We start from the raw sequence: 19,362 nt of genomic DNA on the forward strand, positions 1-19,362 counted from the left end.
GGTAAATCCATAGGTATTAACAGTCAAGAAGATACTGTATAATAGAAGAATAAAAGATGACCCAAACACTAGAATGTTAACAGTAAAAGAATTTGAATGAGATTATTTGTCTTGAAAAAATACAACTCCCACTTCTTTTTTTTTTGAGACAGAGTCTTGCTCTGTCGCCAGGCTGGAGTGCAGTGGCATGATCTTGGCTCACTGAAACATCCGCCTCCCAGGTTCAAATGATTCTCCTGCTTCAGCCTCTCGAGTAGCTGGGAATACAGGCATGCGCCACCATGCCCAACTAATTTTTTTGTATTTTTAGTAGAGACGGGGTTTCACCATGTTGGCCAGGATGGTCTCGATCTCTTGACCTCGTGATCTGCCCGCCTCGGCCTCCCAAAGTGCTGGGATTACAGGCGTGAGCCACCACGCCCGGCCTCCCACTTCTTAACTAAATAAAATAGAAAATAAAGCAAACTTTCCATATCAAAAAAAGTGTAAGTGTTGGAGGTGGAATGAAAGAGAGTTAATTTATTTCTTTAGAGACTAGGCAGAATAGAAGATGGACAAAACAGAAGCAGACAAGCAATTAGAACTAAATAGGGATACGAGGAACAATTAATAAAGCACAAGGAATGAATCTTCTTTATGGATTACCATGACAATTTAGTCAGGATGCTAAGAGATACACGCATTGCTTAGTTTCTTTCGCTCACCTCATGTGGTCATATTTCTTGAAAAGTGCATTATATTCTACTGCCCTCTGCTGGAGTTCCACATCAATGCTGCTTCCGTAGATGGAAACCACTTTCTTAATTCGGCTATAGATAAAATGACAAACGAAATAAAATACCCAAAAGAAAATTCACAAATAAGCAGAGATAATGTTTAATAAGCCAGAATTTTCTGGTTAAAATACTGAAATACTCATTTTTTCTTAATTTATATAGTTTTTCAAAAACAAAACACTTTACTTTCATCCATTTATCTGACATTCGCATTATACTATTCTCATTGTAACACTAGATTTTTGTCTGTTAAATATGCCATCCCCATTCAGCAACAATGATGGTGTGGAAAAAACACATATATATATGCCACTCCCTAAACTTTGCTAGACAAAAGTACCAACTATTACTTTGCCACAAAAGAAATTTGTACTGTTCATTCTCTTCTTTGATAATTTTTAAATAATTTTTAATCTATAAAAGGGTCAGAGCCTCAAAATGTTGACCCCAAATTCTTCCAGTTCAGAATTTTAAAAGTAATTCAATACCATTTTTTATAAGACTTCACATTTAAAAGTGAAGCAGAAAGACTACAAGAACTACGTTGGCCTTAAATATGCTTGGGTGGGAAAGTGACCTGAGAATCTACTTTATTCAAAAAAGCAAAGAGGAGAATTAAAAGATTTAATCACCAAAACATTCATGATTTTATTCCTATTAAGACTTGTCAAAATATAATAAACCAAAACCTTGGCCAGATTACAAGGTCAGGAGTTCGAGACCAGTCTGGCCAAAATGGTGAAACCCCATCTCCACCAAAAAATACAAAAATTAGCCAGGCATGGTGGTGTGCGCCTGTAATCCCAGCTACTCAGGAGGCTGAGGCAGGAGAATTGCTTGAACCCTGGAGATGGAGATTGCAGTGAGCCGAGATTGTATGCCACTGCACTCCAGCCTGGCAACAGAGCAAGATTCTGTCATAAAATAAAATGAAATATAAAATACAAATAAACCAAAACCTTTATATGGGGAAGTAGATTCTCAACTTAAAAAGAAAAAAAAAAGGTATTAGAAATCTCATTCTAAAAACGTAACTTTTAGGCCAGGTGGAGTGGGTCACATCTGTAATCCCTGCACTTTGGGAGGTCAGGGCAGGAGGATCACTTGAGCCCAGGAGTTTGAGACCAGCCTGGGCAAACAAACGAAACACTTTCTCTACAAAAAAATGTAAAAATTAGCCAGGCACGATGGTGTGCACTTATAGTCCCAGCTCCTCTGGAGGCTGAGACAGGAAGATCCCTTAAGCCCAGGAGTTCAAGGTTGCAGTAAAATATGATGGCGCCACTGCACCCCATCCTGGGTAAGAGAGCGAGACCCTGTCTCAACAAACAAACAAAACCCCCTAAACTTTTCTGCTTCAAAATAATCCACAAGGGAGTAAAAGAATGAGAGGGAACAAAGTGCTGATGAATAAAGATTAACCACAAATTGATCACTGTGACTGTGGAGAAATAAGTAATGGAAATTTGTGTTATTATTCTCTCTACTTTTGTCTATGCTTGAAATTTTCCATGATAACAAGTTTTTTGGGATTTTTTTTGTTTTTTAATTACAAAACAACCTGTTCACCCTATGTTTCTTCAATACTCACTTTACAGTACAAGTGAATCGAGTGGAAAGCTTCATAATGGCAGTGAGGGCATAACCTCGTGTCACAGAGGTGGACATATTAGAGATTAGGACACTTTCTAAAATATCCAACACTTCATCCTCTGTTACCTGAGGAGGAGGAGGAAAAAGAAGACGATGAAGAATGAGTAGCATGATTAAGCATCTAAATCTGATATCAAGTCAGGGGAAGCAGCCAGAAAGACAATCCTACCGTTACAAAAGCCTCTAACTCAACCTGTGCTTTGCCAGGGTAACTGTCCAAGCTGTTCTATCAACCAGAGTAGTTGGGGGTAAAAAAAAGTGCTCTGGTTCTATCAACCAGAGCAGGTGGGGGTAAAAAGAGTGAAAAATGACCACTGGGGCTGAGAGGCAATATTAGAGCTTCAAGTGGCAGAAACAGAAGAAGAAAAGAAAAACATACAGAGTTCAAGTGTTGTTGCCACAATTTTCCCTTTTAAAGCCAGTCCTTTAATGTGCAAATAAGAACATGGATACATGTCTCATTTCTTCTTGTTTACCAGCCAGAGGGTAAGAGAAACAGTAATTCAGTCCACTAGGACAGAGACTTGGGCCTAAAGTGGTTTTAAAATCTCACAATGGGGCCAGGCAAAGTGGCTCACACCTGTTTTGTTTTTTTTTTGTTTTTTTTGTTTTGAGACGGAGTCTGGCTCTGTCACCCAGGCTGGAATGCAGTGGCGCAATCTTGGCTCACTGCAAGCTCCACCTCCCGGGTTCACGCCATTCTCCTGCCTCAGCCTCCCGAGTAGCTGGGACTACAGGTGCCTGCCACCACGCCCGGCCAATTTTTTCTACTTTTTAGTAGAGATAGGGTTTCACTGTGTTAGCCAGGATGGTCTGGCTAACCACCCTGCAGGTGACCTCATGATCCACCCGCCTTGGCCTCCCAAAGTGCTGGGATTACAGGCATGAGCCACCACACTCAGCAATGCCTGTTAATCCCAACACTTTGAGAGGCCAAGGCAGGCAGATTGCTTGAGTCCAGAAGTTCAAGACCAGCCTGGGCAACACGGTGAAACCCTGTCTCTACAAAAAAAAAGTAGAATAAACTAGCCAGGGTGGTGCCTGCCTATAGTCCCAGCTACTCAGGAGGCTGAGGTGGGAAGATCGCTTGAAACCCAGGAGATCAAGGCTGCAGTGAATTGTGATCCCACCATGGCACTCCAGCTTGGGTGACAGAGTGAGACTCTATTAAAAAAAAAAAAACAAAAAACCTCACAATGGCTCAATAAGTTCCATCTCAAAAAATGGCAGGTTTTCCAATATAATTCGCGTTTGCTTCTTTAAAAAGTTGGGTATTTTTTAAATTTTTTTGAGACAGGGTCTCACTCCTGAGTAGCTGGGACTAGACACCATCATACCTGTCTAATATTTGTGTCTTTTGTAGAGACAGAGTTTCACCATGTTGCCCAGGCTGGTCTCAAACTCCTGGGCTCAAGCGATGCTCCCATCTCAGCCTCCCAAAGCGCTGGGATTATAGGCATGAGCCACCACGCCTGGCCTAAAAAGTTTTCAAGGAATCAACCTCAACTCCCCATTAAACACTACTCTCCTATAACCAAAACCACTATTTTCCCCCACTTAACCAAGAGTGACAAGGAGTACCTGAATAGGCTCTTCCTCTTCACACTGGCCAGATACAAGAAGATCACCATATTCACCTATACACCATGCAGCCACTTGTACCAAAGGTTGCTGTGAAAAGAAAAGTCAACGTTTCTCAAGAACTTCAATTTTTCCAAAGTTATTTAATGCAAATCATAGGTCATCTCATAATAAAGATCAAAACTGTGCATATCTAGAGTGTTAGAAATAAAGACATACCAAAGGGGAGAGAGGAGGGGGGAAAAAAAAGAAGAAAAACATACCAGAAAAATTGAGGGTAAAATTACCCCCTAAAATAGTTGAATGAAGTACTTACTTGAGAATAATCACCAAGAATTGCTTTGTACAGGCGCTGGACAGTATAGGCATGCATCTCCACACTATTAGTTATTAACTGGATTAAATTGGGGACTGCATCATCACGAACATAACTTCCTGCCTAAAAGGAAATGCAGACAATTACCCCTAGAAACACACAGAAATGATGATAACAAGTGTTAGCTATTATTATTACTGTGTGTTTTTTCCTTTCTTTTTTTGAGACAGAGTCTCGCTCTGTCACCCAGGCTGGAGTGCGATAGCGCGATCTTGGCTCACTGCAACCTCCACCTCCCAGGTTCAAGCGATTCTCATGCCTCAGCCTCCCAAGTAGCTGGGACTACAGGTACATGCCACCACACCTGGCTAATTTTTTCTATTTTTAGTAGAGATGGGGTTTCACCATGTTGGTCAGGGTGGTCTCGAACTCCTGACCTCAGATGATCCACCTGCCTCGGCCTCTCAAAGTGCTGGGATTACAGGCGTGTGCCACTGCGCCCAGCCATTACTATTGTTTTTAAAAGAAGAATACCAGAAAACACCCTCAAAGATAAATTTGGTTCCAATTCTCAGGTTCATAACAGCTCAAACTTCAAAGTCTTATTTAAATATGTTACATTTTTAAATTTTATTTTATTTTTAAAAATTTTCTCTTTGTCCAAAGGCCGGGTGTGGTGGCTCACGCCTGTAATCCCAGCACTTTGGGAGGCCAAGGCGGGTGGATCACAAGGTCAGGAGATCGAGACCATCCTGGCTAACACGATGAAACCCCGTCTCTACTAAAAATACAAAAAATTAGCCGGGCATGTGGTGGGTGCTTGTAGTCCCAGCTACTCAGGAGGCTGAGACAGCAGAATGGCGTGAACCCAGGAGGCCGAGCTTGCAGTGAGCCGAGTTTGCGCCACTGCACTCCAGCCTGAGCAACAGACTGAGACTCCGTCTCAAAAAAAAAAAAAAAAAAATTTCTCTTTGTCCAAATTAAAAAAGGAAGGCTGGACACAGTGGCTCACACCTGTAATCGCAGCACTTTGGATGGCTGAAGCAAGATGACTGCTTGAGGCCAGGAGTTTGACACAAGCCTGGGCCACACAGCAAGACTCCATCACTACCAACAATAATAATAATAATAATAATAATGTAAAGGTTTAAAACTTTATCACCCAACCTTGGTCAATCTCCCATTCCTAAATAGAACAATAGATTTAATTTGTAAGACTGAGACCAGTCCTAACCATGTGTATTTTGGAAAGGAAAAAAAAGAAAAAAAAAAAAAAACAGCCAGGTGATCAGGGTTTTATCAGGTCACTCCTGTTAAGAAACACAAAGACAGAGGAAGAATTCTGGGAAAATGATCAGAAGGAAAGGTGAGAAGCTAAAAAGCAGGTAATTTGCAGTATAGTTTATTTACATCCTTCCGTAAAGCAGAGTGCATTAAATACAAGAAAGCATCAGGGTGATCTAATGGGTTTGTATAATAAGACTACTTCATTCAACAGCAGCAGAATACACATTTTTCTTAAACTTACACTGAACCAAGAAAGACCATATTCTGGGTCATAAAAAATATCTTAACAAATTTCAAATAACATAAATCATAGACAGTATGCTCTTAGACCACACAGAATTAAACTAGAAATCTGCAACACAAAGACAGGTGCAAAAAAATCCCAAAATATTTGGAGATTAAAAGAACATACTTCTAAATAACACATGGGTCAAAAACAACATTATAAGAGAAAACTATAAGCCAATCTCTCTCATGAATACACATATAAAAATACTCAACAAGATATTAGCAAATCAAACCCAACAAAGTTATAAAAAGAATAATATACCCTGACCACGTATTCCAGGTATGTAAGGCTGGTTAGGCATTCAAATATCAATGTAACCCAGCATGTAACAGGCTAAAGAAAACAAATCACATGATCATAAGAGAACACAAGTCAGTTAGAAAAATAAAATCAGGGGCACAAAAAAAAAGCTTTTGAATTCTCATAAACACTTTCCTTCAGGAGTGTTAATTTCTCCCTTCTTTTGAGCCTCATGAAAACTAGGAAAACATGTCCTGTTCATCATTATGTTAATTACATTTTGTTAGATTATAATTTTTCCCCTTGCTAATCAAATTTATTAACTTTTAACCTTTTACCAAGTTAATTCATTGTAAGTAAACTAAAAAACGAGTATGCCCCAGAGAGAATTCCACAGCAACAAATACATATACATATAAGTCATAATTTCATAAGTCAACAAATACATATAAGTCATAATTTCAATGATATAATTTTCTCCCTACAGATGTTTCATAATTTACTTAATCCCCATTTGGGGACTACTAGTTGTTTCCGGTTTTCTCCTACTATAAACAATATTAGGATGAATACTTTTACATACACATTTTTGTGTACTTGTCCTATTATTTTTTCAGGCTAAAGTCCTAAAAATTGAATTAATGAATCAAAGGGTACAATTTAAGGCTTTTCCTACATGCTACCAAACTGCATAGTAAAAAGATGGCATCATCCTATACTCCCATAAAGTGAAGAGTACTGCCTGTTTCTCTATTTTCTAACACTGGGAATTAGATTAAAAAATACGAAATGTGAAAAATGATACCTCAATTTTACTTTATTTCTTTAATAAGAAAATTTTTTCAAATGTTAATTAGCCATTTCTTTCTTCATGAATTGCTGGTTCAAATACCAATTTTTCCATTAGAGTGGTATTTCCTATCAATTATAAATTATTCATAGATTGAATATATTAATATGCTGTCATAAGTTAATGTTTTCCCCAGTTGTTAATTTGCCTTTTAAATCGTAGACTGTTCCCCTTTTTGTTATTCAATTTTTAAATTTTAATATGGTTAAATTTGTGGCTTTTCCTTTACAGTAGCTACTTCTAGTGACTTAATTAATGGAAATGGTTTTCTTTACATGTCACTGCACTTTCATTTTTACTCTTAAATACCTAATCCTTGCCTACTAATTGAATAATAAACACAGAAACCCTGAATTTCTGCAAGAATGCCAAAGAAAGGATCCCATCCAAAACAGGATTTCAAATCCTGAGTAACTTTAGCCATTCAAAACCCTGCAATGGCTTCCTAACATATTCAAAATAAAATGCAAGCTCCCATGAGGCCTACATAGTCTGGCTCCGCTTATGTCTCTGACATCCATCCTACCATTCTCTGCCTCTCTCACTTTATGGCTTCACTTGCCTTCCTGTTGCTCTCCAAGCAAGCTATGCTTGTTCCTACCTCAGGTCTTTGCACTTAGGGTTCCCTCCGTATGGTACACTATTCCTCACGATCTCTGCATGGCTTGCACCTCATGTCTCTTAGGTCTCTACTCAAATGTTATCTCCTCTGAGAGACCTCCCTGACTAACTCTAATCTAAAACACTTGGCCAGTTGCCCTATATCCCACCTTATCCTGCCATCATTATATTCCTCCATGCTGCTTTAGGTTTTTCTTCATGGCATTTATTCCTAACTGACATTAATGTTACCTATTTACTTGTGAATTTCTTACCTCCCTGACTAGAACATAAACTTCATGATAACATCAGTATATCCCAGCACTTCGTATATGCTGTCTGAAAGAAGCTACTTACCGTTGTCAAAACACGCATAATTGTGTCTATATGCCATCGTTTGGAAGGTGCATACCTGAAAAAAACAATGGAAAGGGACACTTGGAACCAGTAAAATATACCGTTTTCAGTGACTAGAAAATCCTGCCCAAGCAGGGTGACTCACACCTGTCATCCCAACATCTTGGGAGGCCGAGGTGGGAGATCACCTGAGCTCAGGAGTTCGAGACCAGCCTGGGCAACACGGTGAAACTCCATCTCACCAAAAAATACAAAAATTAGCTGGGTGTGGTGGTGGGTGCCTGTAGTTCAGCTACTCTGGGAGGTTGAGGTAGGAGGATTGCCTGAGCCTAGGAGGTTGAGGCTACAGTGAGAAAGAAGAGAGAGAAAAGAAAGAGAAGAAACAGAAGAAAGAAAAGAAAGGGAAGAAAGAGAAGAGAAGAAAGAAAAGAAAGAAGGAAAGAAGATGGAAGGAAAGAAGGAAGGAAGGAAGGAAGGAACAAAAAAGAGAGAGAAAGAAAAGAAAGAAAAAGAAAGAAAGAAAGAAAGGAAGGAAAGGAAAAGAAAGGAAAAGAAAAGAGAAGAAAATCCTGTCCTACAGTCTTTTCTAGGTTCCCTGGATAAGTGAACATATCTGGAAACATTTCAACTTCAAATCTAGCAGCAAATGCCATTTCAAAGAGTGATAAAAAGGTATACAGTCAACTGACTTCAGTGGCTCATGCCTATAATCCCAGTACTTTGGGACGCCAAGGAGGAAGGAGTGCTTGAGGCCAGGAGTTCCACACAAACCTGGGTAACATAGCAAGACCCCATCTCTACAAAATAAAAATTAAAAAATTAGTGGCACATGATGATTTGCAGCTACAGTCCCAGCTACTCAGGAGGCTGAGGCAGAAGGATGGCTTAAGCCCAGAAGTCCAGGCTGCAGTAAGCTATGACTGGGCCACTGCCCTCCAGCCTGGGTGACAGAGCAAGACTCCGTTTCTAAAATTAAAGAAAAAAAAAAAAGAGGGTACATAGTCAAACTCAGATGTTTCCCATAAGATTGCAATAAGAGTTGCTAAGCTGAGAAATGAGATTTGTTTTCAGTTTCAGAGAAAATGAATCATTCAGTCAGGGCAGGAGACGATAAAGAAGAAAGAAGAAAAGGGACTGTTTTCAGACCAAGACAACATTTGGACTAAAAACTTGTTTCCTTAAATTCAGAGTGGAAAGAAGAGAAAGAATAGCTGTACTACTAAAATCATAAGGTACTTCCTCAAAATTCTGCATAGAGCTGCAATTCAGGTGCTGTAACTGTTCTATTGCCTTTATTAAAACAGCATCACAGGCCAGGTGTGGTGGCTGATGCCTGTAATCCTAGCACTTTGGGAGGCTGAGGCAGGCGAATCGCTTGAGTCCAGGAGTTCGAGACCAGCCTGGACAACATAGCGAAACCCCATCTCTACAAAAAGAAAAAAACAAACCCAGAAATTAGCAGGGTGTGGTGGCGTAAGCCTATGGTCCCAGCTACTTGGGGGGCTGAGGCAGGAGGATCCCCTGAACCTGGGAGGTCAAGGTTGCACTGAGCCGAGACTGTGCCACTGCACTCCAGCCTAGGTGACAAAGTGAGACCCTGTCTCAAAAAAACCCAAAACAAAAAAAACCAGCATCATAGATGAGAGGTTAAAGAACAGATAAAGGAGAAGATTTCATAAAAGTGTGAAATTTTTTTGGTCTCAGCATATTTAAATGCTGGCTATAATAGCCTTCTCCAAGCTAATTTATAATTGAGGGTTTGAAATAAATGTTATGTGTTTTAAACATATTTAAAGTAGTTTCCCCATTTTTTTTTTTTTGTTTTGTTTTTGAGATGGAGTCTTGCTCTGTCACCTAGGCTGGAGTGCAGTGGCATAACCTTGGCTCACTGCAACCTCCACCTCCCAGGTTCAAGTGATTCTCCTGCCTCAGCCTGCCGAGTAGCTGGGACTACAGGCGCGTGCCACCAGGCCCAACAAATTTTTGTATTTTTAGTGGCGACAGGGTTTCACTATGTTGGCCAGGCTGGTCTCGAACTCCTGACTTCATGATCCACCTGCCTTGGCCTCCCAAACTGCTGAGACTGCAGGCGTGTGCCACCGCGCCCAGCCCCCTCCCCATGTTTTAAAGACACTTCCAAAAGTTCCAAGCAGACTTTACCAATAAAGGTAAAAATTAAATCTTACTTTTCTGCAGCAAGAAAGATTCCAGATGCACAGTCTGCTTTAAATTCTGGCTCACACGAATCCAGAAAATAAAGTAATTCTTTCATCATGCCTCGGATATTATTCCCATTTACCAGGGCAAAACTCAATTCCATTGCACGCCTTGCAGAAGGGAAAAATTAAAAACAGTTAAGAAATTTATAGTGGAAATGAAACAAAGACCCAGGTATGCACTCTGTGAACACCAAGTACTGCCAGATGTGCTGACGTCCTTGCACGATCTTGTGATCCCAATCTTTGCACACGAAATAACCAAGGAGATGTATTCTTACATAATCAAAGTTAGTTTTGATATTTTGAATCTTCATGCAATATTCTTCTTCAAAAGTCCCTACGAGATATACCACTAATGTCCAAACATGCAGCTTGGGTTCAACAGGCTGTTCTACAAAGGTGGAAGTTAGAATACCTGAGAGTCTCAAAAAGAGGGGCAACAAATAAATGTATTACCCAATAATAATACCTATCTGCCTCATTCCTTAAAAATGTGACATGTTAAGTCACCATATTCTACTTTTATTACACCCCACTCTGTCCAAACATGATGTAATATAGTTTATGTCAAAAGGTATGCAGAAAATTCAAATTAAAAACAAATTCAAGGCCGAGCGTGGTGGCTCACACCTGTTTTCTCACCACTTTGGGAGGCCAAGGCAGGCGAATCACCTGAGGTCAGGAGTTTGAGACCAGCATGGCCAACATGGTGAAAGCACTTCTGTACTAAAAATACAAAAATTAGCCGGGCATGGTGGTGGGCGCCTGTAGTCCCAGGTACTAGGGAGGCTGAGGTAGGAGAATTGCTTGAACCCAGGAGACAGAGATTGCAGTGAAGTGAGGCACTCCAGCCTCGGAAACAGAGTGAGACTCTGTCTCAAAAAAAAAAAAAAAAAATTCAAAGGGAAAATGAGGGCCATGAGAAGGAAAAAAAAAATGGCATGTCCTAGGAGGACAAATAAGAGTTTCTATAACTGCCTATTCAAAGTTGGCAATGAAGTTAAAAATAGGAATGTTTAACATGTAAAAGCTGTAAGGTTGCTATATGCATCTTTCCATACTTGGTCAATAATATCAAACACTATATGTACACTGACTTTCAAAAGTAACAATTTAGGCTGGGCACAAGTGGCTCACGCCTGTAATCCCAGCACTTTGGGAGGCCAAGGCAGGCAGATCACCTGAGGTCAGGAGTTCGAGACCAACCTAGCCAATACGGCAAAACCCTGTCTCTACTAAAAATATAAAAATTAGCCGGGTGTGGTGGCAGGCGCCTGTAATCCCAGGTACTTGAGAGGCTGAGACAGGAGAATCGCTTGAACTCAGGAGACGGAAGTTGCAGTGAGCCGAGGTCGCACCACCACACTCCAGCCTGAGCGACACAAGACTCCGTCTCCAAAAAAAAAAAAAAATTAACGAGTGGGGATACTTTCATCTTAGCTAACATGTAAGTAGCAAAAAATTCAATCCTTAGATATAATAACTTTTATAGGGTGCTTATGTAATTTACATATATTAATTCAATTTATCCTGCATAACCCTATGAAGTGGTTGCCCTTCTATCTGTATTTTACTTATGAGGCAATTGAGGCACTGAAAGTTTAAGTAATTTGACCCAGTCTATTAAAGGCAGAGTCAGAAAATGAAATGAGGCAGTCTGGCTCCAGAGTCTAAGCTCTTACTGTTATATATCCTTTCAAAGAGACACAAGTTTCACTTTTTTTGAAATTCACAGCCCAGTAATGAGCTAGAGAGAAACAACACAAAAAGAGTCAGAAGGCTAATATCTATTCCCAGGACTGCCCCTTACAAGGATTAAGGTTTAGGTTAAGTCATTTGATCCCCATGGGACTGAATTGTAACTAATCTGTTAATTAGGGATAGAAGTAGTTGCTTAGGCTCTCTCATTGGCCTGCTCTGAGAACCCACTGAGAGGGTACTTATAAAATCTTTTGCAAAGCACTATATAAAAGTTGGTGTTATTAAGTTTAGGTCTTATCTTTAGATTGCTCAAGCACTTAGCACCTTTTATTTGTACCTGTTCTGTGCAAATCAAAGGAACTCACCATCAATAAATGTTTGTTAACTGAATGGTTTCAGAGATCACTTTAAATATACTTTGTTCTAGATTTGAACATACAACCAAAAGTTCAGAGGCCAACTTTAGCTAAGTTCTACATATTCTACAAACATCTAGAGTTCTAAGAAGACATCCAGTAGAATTACTCCACTGAGGGAAGAGATTTATGCTTTTTGAGAGTGCTACCTGCTGCCTAACAGTCATTTCAGGATACACTGTTCTAAGCAATATGCTGCCTTCAGGATCCTGGGGCGTAAGTACTGTGAAAAACGTGTGCTGTCAGCAGTTTGAGTGTCAGCATTGTGACAAGACACTTAGCCGATGGATCACTCCGTACTTTCATCCTCCAACACACAAAGCACAGTACCTCCACTAGGTAAACTTTTGCCTAGCTTATCTGTGCCTGTTGTATTTATCAAAGAGCCAAGGACAACTTCAGTGTGCACTTAAGTATTCTTATTGGCCTCCTTAACAACCTAAACTTCTCCCTGCCAATCCTTTCTAAAAAAAGGATTCACTGAGCAGAGTCCATCTGTGAACACAATGACTAAATACATAAATGTCAACACTCTTGCTCTGAAAACAAAGTATCACATGGCAGCGGCATAGAGCTATCAATAATCTGTCACTCAATTTACCAAAAACACTAGACTGAGAAAGGCTCTCAGTTTGTTACCGTTTTATTGAGACATCCAAATCTTTAAGACAGTCCACAATTGTGCTTCTGTGCCTCTGTACTGCATTATGATCTGTCTGTACAGTCTTCAACAAAGATGTCAGAGCCACATATCTGGATGAAACAGTTGCAAAATAACAGAGTTAAAATGTAAAATTCAGGATAGTTTTTCTCCGTTTAAATAATAAAAAGAAAGACGTCTAATGGATAAGAGAAAGCATACATTTTTATTTAAAAGAAAGTTAGTGAACATAAAAGTAACATTTCAAAGGTATAAGCGATACCATAATCTAAAATAGTGGCAACCAGGAGGTGCTTTGGATTTTAGATTTGTATTCATGGTCAAGTCCTTTTAAACTTCTAAAAGTAGGCCGGGCATGGTGGCTCACACCTGTAATCCCAGCACTGTGGGAGGCCGAGGCAGGTGGATACCTGAGGTCAGGAGTTCAAGACCAGCCTGGCCAACATGGTGAAACCCTATCTCTAATAAAAATATAAAAAGTAGCTGGGCACATGGGTGTTAGGTGCCTGTAGTCCCAGCTACTCGAGGGGCTGAGGCATGAGAATTGCTGGAACCTGGGAGGCTGCGGTTGCAGTGGGCTGAGATCATGCCACTGCACTCCAGCCTGGGTGACAGAGCGAGACTCTGTCTCAAAAAAAAATAAAATTGGGACTGGGCGCGGTGGCTCATGCCTATAATCCCAGCACTTTGGGAGGCCCAGGTGGGCGGATCAAGAGGTCAGGAGATTAAGACCACCCTGGCTACCATGGTGAAACCACGTCTCTACTAAAAATACAAAAAACTAGCTGGGCGTGGTGGCAGGCACCTGTAGTCCCAGCTACTCAGGAGGCTGAGGCAGGAGAATGGCGTGAACCCAGGAGGTGGAGCTTGCAGTCAGCGGAGATCGTGCCACTGCACTCCAGCCTAGGCGACAGAGCGAGACTCTGTCTCAAAAAAAAAAAAAATTAATTAAATTAAATTAAATATAAAATATAAAATAAATAGAAGTGACTGACTCAATTCTTTAAAAGTTTTCCAAATAGTAAAACAAAAAGAGCATATAATATGTCTTTTAAGGCTGCCTTTCCCCCAAAATGCAATTTTACTTTTAACATGTGAGTTTTCTCTGCTTTTATTTGATCTAGTACCAAAACTGTATCTATAAAAATTTGAGTTTAAAATCCAAGTATTTAACTTAGTATGTTAGTGTTTTAACATTTTATTTATGTATTTATTTTTTAATAGAGATGGGGTCCCCCACTATGTTGCCCAGGCTGGTCTCAAACTCTTGGGCTCAAGCGTTCCTCCCACCTTAGCCTGCCAAAGTGCTGGATTACAGGTGTGAGCCACCACGCCCGGCAATCCAAGTGTTCTTTAGAAGGAGAAGATAACTCAGGGTGCCACAATAATTATTTCCACATCTTTTTTTTTTTTTTTTTGAAACAGGGTCTCGGCCAGGTGTGGTGGCTCACGCCTGTAATCCCAGCACTTCAGGAGGACAAGGTGGGCTGATTACCTAAGGTTAGGAGTTAAAGACCAGCCCAGCCAACATGGTGAAACCCCGTCTCTACTAAAAATACAAAAAAATTAGCTGGGCGTGGTGGCGTTCGCCTGTAAACCCAGCTACTCGGGAGGGTGAGGCAAGAGAATCGCTTGAACTCGGGAGGCGGAGGTTGCAGTGAGCCAAGATTGTGCCACTGCACTCCAGCCTGGGCAACAAGAGCGAAACTCCATCTCAAAAAAAAAAAAAAAAAGAAACAGGGTCTCTCTGTGTCACCTAGACTGGAATGCAGTGGCATGATCACAGCTCACTGCAGCTTTAACCTCCTGGGTTCAGGTGATCCTCCCACCTCAGCCTCCTGAGTAGCTGGGACTACAGGTGCACATCACCAAGCCACCTGGCTCATTTTTGTATTTTTCTGTAGAGATGGAGTTTTGCCATGTTGCCCAGGCTGGTCTCGAACTCCTGGGATCATGATCTACCCATCTCTGCCTCCCAAAGTGTTGGCATTACAGGGGTGAACCACTACGCCTAGCTTCCACATCTTTTCATGTTTAATACAAGAAAAATTTCTCCTGATTAGAAAAACAGGTAAGCAGGAATACGTACTACATACAGGAAAATAACAAAATAAAAGATAATACTGATCAATTCATTTACCTAAAAAACTAGCTAGAGTTCACAAAGACATTCCAGATTTGCTACCTGAAATGTTACATATTTCTTAATTTAGAGCAGGGGTCAACAAACTACAGCCCACCTGTAAAACCCAGCTCTCTGCTGTTTTCGTACATCAAAATATTTTTTTCATACTAGCTCCCAAGTTTCATGTAAATAAATCAATTTACTGAACACAGACACACTCATCATTTACATATTATCTATGGCTAATTTCATGCTAAGGGGCAGAGGTGAGTAGTTACCAAAGACTCCATGGCCCACAAAGCCTAAAATATTTACCATCTGACCCTTTACAGAAAAATTTTGCTGACTCCTGATTTACAGAACAAATAGGAATATATGCCATGAGATAAATCCTCAAGTTCTTCACAAAACAGTGTTTTAAGACCAGAAAAACATAAAAATTCTGAGCTAAAAGTTCTAAATATGTGACTTAATACATGTATGATCTTGAGCAGAATCGCTCTTAAAATACTGGGCTTATAATATCCAAGATAAAAGACATATTTCAGTTAACTTACCTAATATTCTTGTCATTGTTCAATAAGAAACGACCCAGGATATTTATGGCTAGGACCTAAAGAGAAACAGCATAGGTCGAAATTTAGGAAAATGGAAGTTTTATATTGTTTCCTGAGTTTAAAGGATCACTTCATGACCTCTGGTGCTTCACAGACTGCTAGCAAAAAAAAAAAGGAGCTGGGTGCGGTGGCTCACGCCTGTAATCCCAGAACTTTGGGAGGCCAAGGCCGGTGGATCGCCAGGTCAGTGAGTCAAGATCATACCACTGTATTCCAGTCGGAGCAACAGAGCAAGACTCCATCTCAAAAAAAAAAAAAAAAAAAAAAAGGAAAAAATCTAAAGGCAAACTCTTAAAATCATATTCTAAAGGTAAGTGCTGGAAGGTTGTTTTAATGCTTTGACAGTGTTTTGTCAGTGGAAGAATAATATTAGTACAGCCTCTTTAGAGGGAAATCTGGCAATAACTATATTTAAAATGAATATATATTCCCTGTTTTATCAATTTCACTTTTAGGAATTGATCTGACAAACAACTGTACATATAGACAAAAGTCTACTGTGGCACTACTGATAACTGCAAATGATAGGAGATACCCTAAAACTCCGTTAATAGCAAATTTGCTAATTATACTATGGCACACCCATGCAATATGGAATGTCACGCAGCCATTAAGACAGAATGCATTCTGACACATGGTTCAACCTTGAAGACATTATGTTAAATGAAATAAGATAATCTGCTTTTCAAAAGGATAAAAACTGAACAATTCCACTTATATGAGGTACTGTGATATGGTGAAATACATATGTGGTTTTTGTCCCTGTTTCCTGGCATACAACTCCTAAATCCCTTGGAATTTCCTGTGTGACAGCATCTTTAGTTCTAATGATATGACTCTCAATGGGCTCCTAAGATAGCCTCAGAATGGAGACTGGTTTCCAGGGGAACAACCATGATATTAGACGATTGGAACTTTCAGTCTCATCCCCCAACCTTGGGGAGGGGAGAGATGCTGAAGGTTAAGCTGATCACCGATGATTTAATCAATCATGTCTGTGTAATGAGGCCTCCAAAAATCCCAAATGGACAGGGTTCAGAGGAGCTTCCAGATAGCTGAACATGTGGAGCTTCCTGGAGGGCAGCACATCTGGAGAGGGTATGGAAGCTTCCAACTCCTTCCCACATGCCTTGCCCTATGCATCTCTTCCATCTGGCTGTTCATCTATATCCTTTATAACAAACCAGCAAGCATAAGTAAAGTGTTTTCCTGAGTTCTGTGAGCCACTCTAGCAAACTAACCAAAACTGAGGAGGGGGTTGTGGGAACCCTGACTTACAACTGGTTAGTCAGAAGCACAGGTCACAATCTGAGCTTGGGAGTGGCATCTGAAGTTGGGGCGGCGGGGGGTCAGTCTTCTGGGACTGAGCCCTCAAACTGTGGGATGTGACACCTTATCTCCAGGGAGACAGTGTCAGAATTGAATTCAATTAGAAGATACCCAGCTGGTATTCACCAGAAAACTGCTTGATGTATAGGGAAATAGCCCCAACACATATGGCGTCAGAAGTGAAATGCTGGAGCTGGACATGATGGCTCACATTACTCGGGAGGCTGAGGTGGAAAGATTGCTTGAGGCCAGGAGTTCAAGATCAGCCTGAGCAACAGGGAGAGACCCTGTCACTAAAACAAAACAAAAAAGAAGTGAAGTGTTGAATGATTGTGTGAGAGTAGAGAGTAAAAAGTAGAAAAAACATTTTGGGTTTTTTTCTTGTATCTCTTCAGAGGCACCTGAGAGTAGTCAAATTCACAGACGGAAAGTAGAATGGTGGTTGCCAGGGACTACAGATAGTTACAGCATGGAGAGTTATTGTTTAATGGATACAGACTTTAAGAACACAAAAAAGTTCTGGAGATAAACTATAGTACTGGTTACACAACAAGATGAGTGTACTAACTGAACTGTTCACTTAAAAATGCTTAAAATGGTTAATTTTATGTTATATATATTTTATCACAATTAAGAAAAAAAGAACATGACTTATCTCTATGCATGAATTTGGAAGTGGCTCCAAGATAATGTTAGGTGAACAAAGTATGGTGCGAACAATATATATGGTATGTTACCATTCTGTCTGAAAGGTGGGGAGAGGAAAAGAACTTAACCTAAGTTACTTTGGTTATCTAACTAGATACTATAATGCTACCGACAAAAAGAACTGTACACAAATATTATACTCTAGTAAATTTGCTTTTTACAAGGCTATAGGCTAATAGTTCTAATATTAATAAATGATAGAATGAACAAATTCATGAAGGAGAAGGGATAACTCCTCTTTATAGAAGAATTCCAATTAATGAGAAAAAAATGAGGGAAATGAAAAATTGTCATTAGAATACATCTTAATAATTGTTGTGGGCCAGATCCTCTGGTGGATACTAAAACTGATAGGTAAAAGTCTGAGAATAGGATATTTACATAGTCTCAAAATATCTGCCAAAATATTTTTAATTACAAAAGAAAAAATAATGACTTTACAGTGGACAGACCCAGCAGACACCATCTCAACCAAATGATCAAGGTTAACGTCACCAATGATAAGACAAATATATCTACTATATTGCTACACCTGAGATCTCCCAAAGTTTATTATAATCAATGTTAAGCCTTCAGTGGGAAGGAATATTTCAGATACCAAAAATCCAGCATTCCACATTTTGCATCATTCTTTCTTAAAGTCGAGTTCCAAATGGAATACAATTCTGAAGTACTGAAGTCCAAGTCAACCATTCTAAGTGAAACATTTAGGGGGGGAAGAAAAGATTCAAAAAGACTTACTCGCAATCCACTCTCTGACTTAATATCCATGATAGTCAAAACCGTTTCATAAAGAATAGCATTTCCTACATTTTTACTAGTCTCAGTATTAGTGGCAACCTGAAAAGACATATCGAGGGCAGTACATAAGTGATAAAAACAATGCTCCCAAAACATATTCACAGGTAACAAGAGGCATTTTGTGATTACAGCTATGAATGAGGAAACACAAATAAAAACTGCTCCATATAACCATAATCATTCTACTCCCAGCGAAACTAAAATAAATATATATTTAATATGTTTGGTCTACTCACCTGTGCTAATATATCATTCATAGCTTCACTTGAATCATCATCATTTCGTCCTAAAATTCTTAATAACCGCAAAATTCGTACCTAACGTGCAAAAGATGAGAGGTGTCAACAAATTATGTCTCACACAAAGAAATCTCACTTGGTATGAAATTCAAATAACTAAATGAAGTCTTAGAAATTCATTTGGAACCATTTATTCATATCAGAAATAGTCAAAAATCAAACAGAAGAATTGAAAACATTTTCTTTATTTAGAGAAGCTATATATGCTTCTACATCTAATAAAGTTATTATAAAACAACCCACACTTCAGTACTCCACAGCTAAAGGATACTACCAGATACTACCACCTGCAGAGCTATATTAAATAATTCAAATAATAAATGATTTTGACTATTAAAACTGTAATTTGAAGTGGGGCACAGTGGCTCTTGCCTGTAATCCCAGTACTTTGAGAGGCTGAGGGGGGCGGGCTACTTGAGTCCAGGAGTTTGAGACCAGCCTAGGCAACATGGCAAAACCCTGTCTCTACAAAATATACAAAATGAGCCGGGCATGGTGGCATGCACCTGAAATCCCAGCTACTTGGGAAGATCACTT

The 19,362-nt window shown here is 39.8% G+C and overlaps 1 protein-coding gene and 1 non-coding gene across 3 annotated transcripts in view; both read right to left on the reverse strand.

Moving 5' to 3' along the window:
* The window catches only part of AP1G1 (adaptor related protein complex 1 subunit gamma 1), a 79,835-nt gene that overhangs the window by 16,884 nt on the left and 43,589 nt on the right, over positions 1-19,362 (reverse strand). For both annotated transcript variants that reach the window (NM_001128.6, NM_001030007.2), the window contains 10 exons: positions 18,763-18,843; positions 18,467-18,565; positions 15,629-15,684; positions 12,925-13,038; positions 10,136-10,276; positions 7,950-8,004; positions 4,327-4,449; positions 4,011-4,100; positions 2,368-2,495; positions 705-809 (listed from right to left, as the gene is read on the reverse strand). In NM_001128.6, the coding sequence (NP_001119.3) occupies positions 705-809; positions 2,368-2,495; positions 4,011-4,100; positions 4,327-4,449; positions 7,950-8,004; positions 10,136-10,276; positions 12,925-13,038; positions 15,629-15,684; positions 18,467-18,565; positions 18,763-18,843 (992 nt within the window). The remainder of the gene's footprint in view (positions 1-704; positions 810-2,367; positions 2,496-4,010; positions 4,101-4,326; positions 4,450-7,949; positions 8,005-10,135; positions 10,277-12,924; positions 13,039-15,628; positions 15,685-18,466; positions 18,566-18,762; positions 18,844-19,362) is intronic.
* On the reverse strand, positions 12,519-12,604 carry SNORD71 (small nucleolar RNA, C/D box 71). Its single transcript, NR_003059.1, has one exon. It is a non-coding gene; the product is annotated as a small nucleolar RNA, C/D box 71 (small nucleolar RNA).

Source organism: Homo sapiens, chromosome 16, assembly GCF_000001405.40.
Source record: "Homo sapiens chromosome 16, GRCh38.p14 Primary Assembly".
NCBI classification, from domain to species: domain Eukaryota; kingdom Metazoa; phylum Chordata; class Mammalia; order Primates; family Hominidae; genus Homo; species Homo sapiens.